This window comes from Homo sapiens, chromosome 14, assembly GCF_000001405.40.
Source record: "Homo sapiens chromosome 14, GRCh38.p14 Primary Assembly".
Classification (NCBI taxonomy): domain Eukaryota; kingdom Metazoa; phylum Chordata; class Mammalia; order Primates; family Hominidae; genus Homo; species Homo sapiens.
In genome coordinates, this window is record NC_000014.9 from 106043080 (window position 1) to 106056592 (window position 13513).

The 13513-nt window shown below is 41.9% G+C and overlaps 2 pseudogenes and 1 further gene; all 3 read right to left on the reverse strand.

Moving 5' to 3' along the window:
* The window catches only part of IGH (immunoglobulin heavy locus), a 1293408-nt gene that overhangs the window by 456643 nt on the left and 823252 nt on the right, over nt 1–13513 (reverse strand).
* IGHVIII-5-2 (immunoglobulin heavy variable (III)-5-2 (pseudogene)) lies at nt 2521–2781 on the reverse strand (annotated as a pseudogene). Its single transcript is given in 1 exon segment — nt 2521–2781. A coding segment is annotated over 1 exon segment (261 nt).
* IGHV3-6 (immunoglobulin heavy variable 3-6 (pseudogene)) lies at nt 12465–12919 on the reverse strand (annotated as a pseudogene). Its single transcript is given in 2 exon segments — nt 12465–12770; nt 12874–12919. Coding segments are annotated over 2 exon segments (352 nt in total).

The following is a 13513-nucleotide window of genomic DNA, read 5'->3' on the forward strand; positions in this document are numbered from 1 at the left end:
ACACCCCCTCTCCTTTTAAAATCCCTAATAAAAACTTGCTGGTGTTGCGGCTCAGGGGGCATCACGGACCTATCAATATGTGATGTCACCCCCGGTGGCCCAGCTGTAACATTCCTTTCTTTGTACTCTTTCTCTTTATTTCTCAGACCAGCCGACACTTACAGAAAATAGAAAGACCCTACATTGAAATATTGGGGGTGGGTTCCCCCGATAAATCACCTGAGGTCAGGAAGTCGAGACCAGCCTGTCCAACATGGTGAAACCCCATCTCTACAAAAGATACAAAAAAAGAAAATACAAAAATGAACACATATCCAAATATCAAACCAAAACATGAATTTATTTAATGTTATTTTAATTATATAATTGAATCGAATGTACTATTTTATAGTATAATGTAATATTCCAAAATGTTGTTGCTCTGTGTGATTGTTTCACTATCCTAATGCCAATTAACAAACATATTTAAAGGCAAGGTTTGGTAGAAATGAAAATAAATGCCATTCTTGCCAAATTAATTAATGTACAATGGTATTTATGTATAATCGCTGTGTTGGTTTGTTTGTCATTTATGCTGTTAGTATACTTTAAAATACCAATTATTAATACATCTAATAACAAGATAAACATCACTTTAAACACATTTTATTACATTATTGGTTAAATTAACATTGTGTTTTTATAAAGTCAGGATAAAATGTTCTTATTTAGAAATTAGGATTGTTTTCTACCATTGATTTTCCACAAATTTTCAATACAAATTCTAGATGTTTATTTGCCAACACGCCTGGATGCTAGAGAACATCCAGCAATATGGACCTGAAATCAGCCCAGGATCCCCAGAATGCACTCACAATGGCAGCTTGCTAGAGGGTTGTCTGAGAATTGCAAACACATTAGGGATTTGAACTTCATCATCAAAGCACTGGTGAGCCTCAGCGCTGAGCACACAGAGAGCAGCAGGAGCTGCAGAGCCCACTCTGTGGTACTTAGGAAAAGGACTGGATGTTGTGGGGTGATGTCTGCAGGACCCTAGAAAAGGGTGACGATGTCAGAGAGTCTGCGGATAGATGAACATATGCTTTTTTTTTTGAGATGGAGTTTCTCTCTGTCGCCCAGGCTGGAGTTAAGTGGCATTATCTCAGCTCACTGCAGCCTCTCACCCTGGGTTCAAGTGATTCTCCTGCCTCAGCCTCCCGAGTAGCTGGGATTACAGGTGCCCGACACCATGCCTGGCTAATTTTTCTATTTTTAGTAGAGACAGGGTTTTGCCATGTTGGCCACGCTGATCTCAAACTCGACCTCAGATGATCCACCCGTCTTGGCCTCCCAAAGTGCTGGGATTACAGGAGTGAGCCACTGCACCTGACCTACATGAGCATATTGTAAGGTGAACTGTTATCCTTCTAAACATGGTTGGGTTCAATGATCATGAAGAGAAGTGAACAGATTCACCAGACGTGGAGGAGACAAAATAAATAGATTTGTTGCTTCTTTGCCAGGAGACTGAGGAAGACAAAAGGATTTGACAGAAGGGAAGGTGGAGAAACAGTGTGAAGAGCAGAAGACCAGAACCCAACCAAAGTGGAGGAACTGACCCGTGAAAGTGGTGTTTCATCTCCACAAATGGCAGACAAAATGAAAGGAAACTTAACACCGTGACATTGTTGAGTTATTATTAGAAAAGCATTGACTGTAGTGTGACTGGCACAGCACAAGAAACAAAAACCCATGCGTGGAACCAGAGTTTGAATTAGGCATACACAATTTCTTATTATCAAAACACATTGAATTACTATTGCTATTATTATTCTAAAAATATGCAAGGTTAAAAGTTGAATTGAATTCCTATCCTAAGTTAATGATTTGTATGTGAAAGAAACCATGGGTTACAAGGAAGAAATAGTGAGAGATCGTGGGAAGACTTTTGCTTGACCAGCTCAGGAATCAGCTAGGTCTAAAAGCAAACGTCACCTTCCCCAGGCACCTGATGTGGAGCTGCCTCCTAAGAAAACCGTGGTGTCCTGAGTGATTGATTCCCTCGTGGTTACTGAAAGCCCCATGGTGGCCCCGAGCACTCCCTGTTGGCCCTGAACCCCTGGTGTCCTCAATGTTCTTCAGTGGCCATGAGTGTCTCCTGGTTGTCTTGTGGGCCTTTAGGTGGTCCTGTTACACCTGGTGGTTTCTGAGAATCTCTTGTTGGTCCTGAGTGTTTCCTGGTGGTCTGGAATGCACCCTTGTCATTCTGTGGCCCCTGCTTGTGCTGAGCGCCCCCTGGTGTCCTGAGCGCCCCCTGATGTCCTAAGTGTCTCCTGGTGTCCTGAGTGCCCCCTGCTGGTCTTGAGCACCCCTAGTGTTTTGAGCACCCTGCGGCATCCTGAGCACCTTCTGCTATCCTGAGTGTCTCCTAGTGGTTCTGAGTGTCCCCTAGTGGTTCTGAGCACCATTTACCACAAAGTCCCCTCTTGTCTTCCTGCAGGGAAGTTTGCGTCTAGACTCACCCATATGTCCCTCACTGTGTCTCTCACAGTAATACACTGCCTACTCCTCAGCTTTCCAGTAGATAATTTTAAGGGAGATTGTGATGTTAAGTGTTGTCCCCAGGAACTGTGAATCTTCTTTGTGCTGGAGCAGAGCACCACTGAGAACTTCCACTTGGGTCACTCATGGCTACCACCCACTCCAGCCCCTCTCCTCCAGCCATCAGGGCCCAATAAATGCTGCAGTCAGTGAAGGTGAATCTTGATGCTTTGCAGAAGAAGCTAAGAGAATAGCCAGGCTATTTTGCCAAAGACAAAAATATAGATCCAGTAAACCTTTGTGGTTTTCCAGGAATCTGGGGAAAAGGTGTGTGGATTAGGTGAAACACACACTTTTTAATCACAATGAAACTATTTTCATGGTGTTCAATGATAAACACATGGCATAAATAATTTGTGAAAACTCATAATTTTTTGAGACAAAGTGTTAACCTAAATGCATACAACTTCAAAAGTATTTAGCTGGTCATGAAACACAGAATAAAATGAAAGCTGTATAAAAATATCTAACAATGATAAACAGGTTTGTACTAATTTCACTGCAGAAAGGGGGGCATGAATATCAGAAACAAGTATCTTTGGAAATAATTTGATGTTGTGATTGTAAAATATAAATAAGCTGCATATAAGCACGGTATTCTAGTCGATAAACATATTTTCAACAAGGGTCAGTTTAATAATTCTAACACAATTTGTGTATTTTGAAATTGTGCACTAAGTAAATTAATGTCATATGATAGGAAAGGTTTCCTCATTTTTCAATGTCAGATTATGGACAGGCAAAGAAAGAAGGCTACGGATGTCTATGTGGATCTTGGTAGTGTGAAGAAACCAGTATCTTCTTAGGTTTAATGTAATATAGATACAGAAGATGAGATACATAAATACTTTAATTTTGAATTTTTGTGGGTAAATGGTATATGTGTATATTTATGGGGTACCTGACTTTGATATAGCATGAACTGCATAATACTCACATTATGATGAATGGTTCCTACATCCTTTCAAGTATTAATTCTTTGAGTTACCAACATTCCATTTATACACTTTTAGTTATTTTACAATCTATAATTATGTTATTAAGGATTATACTTAGTCTGTTGTGTTATCAAATACTATGTATTATTTGTTATTTCTAACCACTTTTTTCATCCATTGAGCATCCCCAATAATCCCCATCTACCATAGACCTTCCCAGCCTCTGGTGACCATCCTTTCACTCTCTATCTCCACGAGTTCAGTTGTCTTAATTTTTAACTTCCACAAATATATGAGAATATGTGAAGTTTGTCTTTCGGTTCTGGGATTATTTCAATTAATATAATGAACTCCAGTTTCATCCACGTTGTTGCAAATGAAAAAATCTCATTCTCTTTATGGCATAATATTAATCCATATGCTATATGTACCACATTTTATTTATCCATCATCTGTTAATGGGCAGTTAGGATGCTTTCAAATTTTGGCTATTACGAACAGTGCTATAACAAACATGGTAGTGCAAACAACATTTTTTTTTTGTGGGAGGGAGTACATGCCAGCAGCAGGATTGCTGGATTATATGACAACACTACTATTAGGTTTTGAGGAAACTCTAAACTGTTCTCCATAGTGGTTTTATTAACTTAAGTGCCCACCAACAGGTTATGAGTGTTCTCATTTCTCCATATCCTTCCCAGCATTTGTTTCTGTCTGGCTTTTGGATGAAATCATTTTAAAATCAGATGAGATGATATTTCACTGTAGTTTTGTTTTGCATTGTTCTGATGATCAGTGTTACACAGCACATTTTATATGCCTGTTTGCAATTTGAAAGTCTTATTTTAAGAAATAAATATCGCCTGCTTTTTATTCGGATTACTAGATATTTTTCCTATAGAGTTGTCTGAGATCCTGGTATATTCTGATCAATCCTTTGTCAGATGGGTAGTAATGTCTCTTTCTCTCACACTATGAAAGACATGATGTCCTCATTCACAGGTGCATTCCGGGATATACACACAGTATCAATGGAAAAGCAGTCATTAGGCAGTGAGGCCTTTGACAGCCTCTACCTGATGTCTCTTTTTCGGAGTCTGTATCTCTTAACATAACAACTGGATGTTATTCTGTACTCATTGCTGGCATGCTGTCACTGTTTTGTGTCAAAAATTCATCCACATTTTAATGCAATTAAATTTGTTCCTATTTAGAGGGTCAGTTTTTGAGGTTTGTCATGACCCAGAATGTTATTTTTTTTTTTTTAAGAAAATGGGTCTAGCAATATCTTGCAGGCTGGCCTTGAAATCCTGGGCTTGGGTGATCTTCCCACATTAGCATCCTCACTAGTTGAAAATACAGGCACATGGCACAGTGTCTAACTGATTATTCTTAAATTATGCTATTTCTCATTCTCTCTGCTAAACCAAGTGGATATTGCTCTTGTGGAGCTGTCAGCTTTTCATTAATTACTTACAGTAAAAATATATTATGTGTTTTAGGATAACTTCATGGTAAAAATTATTCACAGTCAACTGCAAATATAGTCACACAATTTCCAGAGTGCTGTATCTCTGTCTTTATGCCATGCATCTTTACCTATAAAAATATAACAGCCTCCACCTTAGTGCACATGAAATTATTCATATATCTCAAAGTGATACTCCTGCTTTAAGAGCATAAAACTGTTTGGGAATCGTGGACTTAAATAGTCTCATTATGCCTCTCCCAGGAATATCCCCAGAACCTCTGCCATACAAGTGAGCAGGGGTGAGAATAATTGGAGTCCTTCTTGGTTCTTGGTCAATAACGCATGGCATGGAAACTCTGTCTCGTAAGTGAGGGTGGGAGGAGGCAGGCATCCATTACATCACAGACTGGAATTTAGTCTCCACCATAGAGATGTGACACCATGGCTTCAACTGAGATCTGAGGGAGAGAAAGCCACATCTTCTTTTCAGATCAGCTCGTGATCATGCTTCTGTCATCCTGAGCTGCAAATGAGAGAGTAATGCTTGTCTCTCAAGCATGGTGGACCCTCACTGCCCTTACTGAGACTTGGTAAATGGTTTAGTCTGTTTCAGCTGCTATAACAGAACTCCATTAAATGGGTGGCTCAGAAATATCATAAACATTGTTTTCTGAATTCTCAAGGCTAGGAAGTTGAAGATCTAGATGCTTTTGAGATCGGTGAGGACCAGCAATTTCTGGTGAGGACCGGCTATTATGTTCATAGGGGTGTAACTGACGGACATATCCAAACAAAAAATTTTGCATGGATGTTCATTTATATTTCCCCAAAACTGCATACATGTTGTATTATTCCTGATCAGTTGAGCAATTATAAGGCTTGAATAAGAAACTAAAACCTGCGCATTCAGCACACATATCCCTGAAATTAAAGTAAAAAAAAAATCTGTAACCAAACTTACAAATAAAGGAGGTAAGAAAATGAGGTCAGAACAGTTAACATTGAGTCCTCACGTGAAGGCCATTGGTGGTAAGTTACACAATGGGGCTGCAGTGAGATAGGCTACCAGGTGATCTAATTCTGAACCCCTCAATAACAGCCAACCAGCAATCTCTGGCAGTGGGTATGCTAGAAGTTCCCAGACATGGGAAAACTCTCTTACTCCATAAAACTGCACTGGGGTCGTCTGCAGCCTCTAAGTTCCACAGGAGCAGCTCCTACCCCAGACAAATCTCTGCTCTTTCTCTGGGGTCATGAGAGATGATGCGGAGAAGGTCAGTGATATGGTTTGTTTGTGTCCCCACCCAAATTTCATCTTGAATTGTAACTTCCACAATTCCCACATGTCATGGAAGGAACCTGATGGGAGGTGACTGAATTATGGGCATGGGTCTCTCCTGAGCTATTCGTGTGATAGTGAATGAGTTTCATGAGATCTGATGGATTAAAAAGGGGAGTTTTCCTTCATGTGCACTCTTCTCTAGTCTGCCACCATGTGAGACGTGATTTCCACCTTCCACCATAATTGTGAGGCCTCCCAAGCCATGTGGAACTGTAAGTCCAATAAACCTTTCTTTTATGAATTGTCCAGTCTTGGGACCAGCGTGATAACAGACTAATACAGTAAATTGGTACCAGTAGAGTGAGACATTGCTGAAAAGATAACCAAAAATATGGAAGTGACTTTTTAACTGGGTAACGGGCAGAGATTGGAAGAGTTTGCAGGGCTCAGAAAAAGACCGGAAAATATGGGATAGTTTGTAACTTCCTAGAGACTTGTTGAATTGCTTTGACAAAAATGCTGATAGTTATATGAACAATAAGGTCTAGCTTGAGGTGGTCTCAGATGGAGATGAGGAACTCATTGGGAACTGGAGCAAATTGTGGAATTTTGAACTTGAGAGAGATGATTTAGGGTGTCTGGCAGAAGAAATTTCTAAGCAGCAAAGAATTCAAAAAGCCACTTGAGTGCTATTAAAGGCATTCAGTTTTAAAGGGGAAACAGCATAAAAGTTCAGAAAATTTACAACCTGGCAAGGCAGTAGAAAAGAAAATCTTATTTTCTGAGGTGAAATTCAAGCCAGCTGCAGAAATTTGCATAAGTAATGAGGAGCCAAATGTTAATCCTCAAGACAATGGGGAAAATGTCTCCTGTGAATGTCAGAAGTCTTCACGGCAGCCCCTCCCATCACAGGCCTGGAGGCCTAAGAGGCAAAAGTGGTTTTGTGGTCCAGGCCCAGGGTGCCCGTGCTGTGTGCAGCCTAAGGAGTTGGTGCCCTGTGTCCAGCCACTCCAGCTATGGCTGAAAGACGCCAATGTAGGGCTCAGGCCATGGCTTCAGATGGTGCAAACCCCAAGCCTTGGCAGCTTCCACATGGTGTAGAGCCAGTGAGTACACAGAAGTCAAGAACTGGTCCTTGAGAACCTCTGCCTGGGTATCAGAAGATGTATGAAAACACCTGGGTGTCCAGGCAGAAGTTTGCTGCAGCAGTGGGACCCTCATGGAGAACCACTGCTAGGCCAGTGAGAAAGGGAAATATGGGGTCAGAGCTCCAACACAGAGTCCCTATTGGGGTATTGCATAGTGCAGCTGTGAGAAGAGGGCCGCCATCCTCCAGATCCCAGTGTGGTAGATCCACTGACAGCTTGCACCATGTGCCTGGAAAAGGCACATTCACTCAACACCAGCCTGTGAAAGCAGCCAGGAGGGAGGCTGTACCCTGCAAAGCCACAGGGGTGGAGCTGCCCAAGACCAAGGGAAACCATCTGTTGCATCAGCATGACCTGGATTTGGGAAATGGAGTCATAGGGGATCATTTTGGAGCTTTAATATTTGACTGCTCTGCTGGATTTTGGACTTGCAGAGGGCCCCTTTGTTTTGGGCAATTTCTGTCATTTGGATGGGTGTGTTTATCCAATGCCAGTACCCCCATTGTTTCTAGGAAGTAACTTGCTTTTGACTTTACAGGTTTATAGGTGGAAGGGACTTGCCTTGTCTCAGATGAGATGTTAGACTGTGGATTTTTGAGTTAATGCTGAAACAAGTTGACTCTGGGGGACTGTAGGAAAGGCATGACTGGTTTTGCAATGTGAGGACATGAGATTTGGGAGGGGCCATGGGGCAAAATAATATGGTTTGGCTGTGTCCCCACTCAAATCACATCTTGAATTTAACTCCCATAATTCCCAGTGTCATGGTAGGGACCCAGTGGTAGGTCATTGAATTATGGCTGCGGGTTTCTCCAGCACTGTTCATGTAATACTGCATGAGTTTCACGAGATCTGATGATTGTAAAAAGGGAGATCCCTGCACAAGCTCTCTTCTCTTGTCTGCCACCATGTCAGATGTGCCTTTCACCTTCCACCATGATTGTGAGGCCTTTCCAGTCATGTGGAAGTGTAAGTCCAATAAAACTCTTTCTATTGTAAACTTCCAAGTCTCTGGTATGTCTTTATCAGCAGCATGAAAACAGACTAATAGTCAGACATGATCTACTCAAGGCCTCTGCACATGGAGAAAAGCCAGTGAAAGTGGAAAATGTATTTTCTTGATTTATTGAAAAATACCTATAGAAAACACAACTGTGTGCCAGGACATCAAGCAGAATTTAAAAATTATGCAATTGGAATAAATGTGAAAATTACAATCATTTGCAGACACACATCTGTTCATATATCTTTCAATGAAATAAAGTAAATGCCAGTGTTCTGTGTAAAAATCAACAAAGAGTGTGTTGACCCTGAGAATACACCTCTCTCCCTCCCTTTAAAGGCAGGAAAATGCACATGGATCAGGTGTCAAGCTGCTGCTTTCTGACGTCTATGCTATGGCCCAGATCCTGTGGTCCACTCTAATGAAAAGAAGGACTCTTTAGTGATTCTGAGGCAGAGTCATTGCTGGAGTCACAGGGGTTCCCCCTTGGGTAATGTTGACTTGTAGTAGACTCAAATATGTTTTACACCTTCCTTGCACAGCACAGAAACCTAAGAATGTTTCACCCAATCCTCCGTCCATCTCTCCTTTACTCAGGGACAGATTTCTACCATATGCCATCAGCTTCTGCAGCCACATGTCACCCCCTGTGCATTTCCTGTCAAAAGAGTGGAAGTACTTCTTATGAAAAATGCATGAAAGCATAATCCAGTCTTGGACTTTCCATCTCAAAAGACCAATAATAACACATATATTTCAGCAAAATTATTTATCCTATGATTATGACTATATTTGGCAATTGTTTTGGCAAAAAACAAAAATCATGGTGTTGGATAATGAAGATGTAAGAAGGGCCAAGACTGTTACAACTTTTTATTGATGACCTGGGGCGTAGTAGGGGTAGGTGCTGACCTCAAGATAAGAGGACTGGAACCTCATTGCAACTGTCTGAGTGTACTCACGCAGGCCTGCCTGGGGTTCCAAGGCTTGCATGGCAAAGCTGTCAGTGCTGTCATCTATAATTCTAGCACCACATTTGAGGGAACAACATACTATAAAGTACATAATGAGAACTAGGGTAAGGAGTGCAATTCGCAGTTTTAAAAGTAAAGATTTGAACGCATTAGTTTATGGCTTTGTAGCCTACAAATAATTTAGAATTTCGTCCAAACTGCTGAAGAAAAAAAAACAAGAACAGCAAACAACAGGTGTACTATATTTTTAAAGCATAATTTTTTTCTCTCTTGTCCCCATTTTTATTTAAAACAAATCAAGATAGGACTGATTTATTTGCAAAATAAACTTTAGTCTTATTCATGGCCTTATTATTTGCATAAAGCACAATACAAATAATTATTGTTTACACAGGCTTTTAAAATTGGCTTTGGTGGAACTCTGTTCCATAAGGAATCTCAGATAAGACTTTTTTAAAGCCAAGCCCAGCCATGAGTTTTTACCATCAAATACCTGTAAGTCTGGTAAATTATTTTTCCTCTGGGGTCCCAGGAAAACATGGGGTTCTTGGGCCTGTTAGAAAGTGACATTCTTTACTTACCACTGGTCAGGAACCTTGTACAAAGACTGTGTGGACAAGGTACAGGCCAGTTTTCCCAAGGGGCTCTTATTGGCTGTATAAGTCAAGTTCGATTGCTTAAGGTGAAGCACGCCATTACAGTCAAAGCCTTGGTAAAATAACCAGTTTCTCCAATTGTGTCCTGTTGCAAAAAAAAAAAAATCTTACTGCACTTATGAAAAATCATATTGCCATAAGTTAAGGATATTCACAAAGAGTTTCCAAATTCTGGAGAAAGTGGACAGAGAGAAACAAATATTCTCCAAATTTTATGTACAGGACTATACTCAATTGTTGAAAGCTATAAATAGCTCAAAAGAAAAGTTTTCTTGGGCAACATTTTAAGTGAAAAGTCAAAAAAGATAGTCTTCTATTTGATAGTTTTATCTCTATACTATTGTAACCATCTTCAGAGTTTTTAATCAGAAATCTGCATGTAAGAGCACCTGTTAGAGTTTCATAGATGGTTATAAAACCATCACTTAAAGAGAAACAAAACAAGTCGATAAGGTCAAAACTCAAAGGGAGGAATTGAAGCCACCACTGCAAAGCTGCAACTGAAACAGTGAAAGAGCTGTGACCTAACCTGCTCCATCTTGCCTCAAACCTCCAGGTTGTCCTTGTGCATTCCTGGGTGTAGGCTTACCTAACATTGGGAGGAACTTAGTTTAGTTTATAGTTTAAAACAGAGACAATAACTGCCCTTTCCCAAAACAAATCTCCTTCGTCCTGGGGACTAGACTGCCTTTGGGGGACTAACGAATTAGCCAAAATATTAGAAATTATGTTTTAAGAGTCATGCAGCTGGTGGCTACAAATTCTAACCCTTCCTAGTTTGCTCCTGGGGATAAAATGACTATTATAAAGCCTAAGATCAATGCTTTAGATATTTTACAGACTCTGCACTTGATGGATCAGCTGGCATCACCCAGATCAATAAACTGGCTCATCCGATCTTGTGGCCCCCTCCTAGGAACTGACTCAGCACAAGACACCTTCAGCTCCCTATGATTTTATCTCTGACCTGATCAATCAGTACTCATGACTCACTGGCTGCCCCCAACCCACCAAGCTATCCTTAAAAAATCCCATTCTTGAATGCTTGGCGAGACTCATTTCAGTAACAATAAAACTCTGGTTTCCAATAAATAAATAAATAAATAAATAAATAAATGTCATGGCAACAATCAATTTTATGTGTCCCCTTGACTCATAGAGTCATTTATTCAGTTACACACTAACCTAGGTGTTGTACTGATCCTATAATATAAGTGTTAGTAAAGCCTGCCATCATTTTTTTCCTAAGTCAGGAAGATTGTCCTAGATAACCTAGGTGGGGCTGATTCCATCAGAGCATAAGAGATGACGATGGGACTCCATGGAGGATGACAGTGTAGGTCTTCCCAGAAATTCCAACTCCATTGACCTGAAACCCTGTAGGATTTGCCTAGCCAGACCCTCCAATTGCTGTCACCCAGAGCTCACAGCACAATAGAGTGTCCATCCTTAGCTTTCCCCAAAGTCACAGATGAAGGAGGAAATTCTGTGACAGTGTGAGAAACAGAAGATCAGCTCTACATCAGTATCTCATTTGAGAAAGCTACCATTATCCCCTCAGTGACTAATGTCCACTTCATTTCCCAAATGCCTCCATGCACAGAAGACAGCAGGCGGGTCCAGGCAATGGTGAGTGGGAAAGTCCCCTCAGCCTCCCCAGGTCTCACAGGAGCCACAGCCTGGGCCACACCTGAGTTCCAGGTAACAGGCCTGAGCCCTGAGATTTAGACCACAGAAAACACACTCTCTGTTTTCTGGGAAGGGAAGAAAAGGGAACTATGAGAATGAAGTGTAGAGAGAAGAAAAATTGATTAGCAAGTAAGGGCCAGCTGGATCAGTTCTGAGTCAGATGTGCACAGTTTTGCCAGAGGAGGGAGAACAGCTGTAAAAACTGTCAGGATTTAAGGACCCTCCCATGGGTGAGACTCCCTCTTGGCCCAAGTCTGAATCCCAAACCTATTCTAATCAGAGATTTCCACGGAGGTCTCTGCCCTGAGCCTGACTGGAAAACACTCCCCAGGTTCCACTGGGCTTCCTCAGGACACTGATCAATGTGACCAAGGCAGGGTCATTTCTGCCCCCAAGGTGACACTCGGGCTTCTGTAGGGGTGAGGATGGGTCTTCCTGTTACAAAAAACAAAACAAAACAAACAAACAAAAAACAAATATGTGAGGGAAGTTTAGCAGTCACAGACATCAAATGTTAGTACAGAATTGCAAATCTAGAGAAGTTCCCTCGGGTAATTTGGTAACAACGCAGCCCCAGATCAAGACAGGAAACCCAGCCCTTGTAGCACCTGCACTTGCCCCTGGGGTCAGCACAGTGCACAGTGTCCCAGGCTTTCCCTGGTTGTCCCAGGTACCCTGAAGGGAGGTTTGTGTCTGGGCTCACACTGACTTCTCCTTACCGTATCTCTCACAGAGTCATATGCAGCTGCATCCTCTGCCCTCAGTCTGTTCATTTGCAGATACAGTGAGTTTTTCGTATTGTCTCTGGAAATGGTGAATCGGCCCTTCACAGAGTCTGCGTAGTACATGGTACTACCACTACCACTAATAACTGGGACCCACTGCAGACCCTTCCCTGGAGCCTGGGGGACCCAGTGCGTGCTATGGCTACTGAAGGTGAATCCAGAGGCTGCACAGGAGAGTCTCTGGGACACCCAGGCTTTGTCAAGTTTGCTCCAGACTCTACCAGCTGCATCTCACACTGGACACCTGCAAACACAGAGACATCCTGGTAAGAAACTGCCACACATATCCACTGTTTCGCTCACTTATGTCCATTCACACTCAATAGCTCTAGTTCTCCATAAATCACCTTTTAAAATAGCAGCAAGGAAAACCCACCTCAGCCCCAACTCCATGGTGAATCCTGTATGTTCAGTGTTGACCAAGCAGAAACACCTGGGAATCCCGGGGCTGAGGCTCCTCTGCCAGAGCTGCAGGGTCAGGGTTTAGCTGGTTTTCATCAGCATGGGGAGGGCCCTATTTGCGTGTCTCCTGCTACACAGAGAGCTCTGGGGTGGGAACCCTGAGGAGACGGCAGACCCCAGATAAAATGACAGGGCCCCGCAGGAGTTGGGTGACAATTATGGTATTTGGGAAATACACTGTCTTATTATGAAAATGTGTTGTGATAAACATTTTGCACTATTATATTTTTACATATTTGTGCAAATTATGTTCTGTAGAAGTCAATGGTTTCTCCATTTACAGATGTGAAATAAACCCACACATGGAGGAGGGGCTGTGTGTGTCTCATGTCTGAGATGAATGAGCCCTGGTAGCTTGGCCTGTGCTCCACATCAGTGGCCCCAGTTACTCCCTGAACCAACTCCAGGTAAGAATTGGACATGCCTAGTGTGCTTTGTGGAACCCACTTCCTGTATTGAGAACTTGAGTGATTTTTGTGGCACTCTAGCATTCACCTAAAAATAAGGAGAGAACTAGGGTTCAGG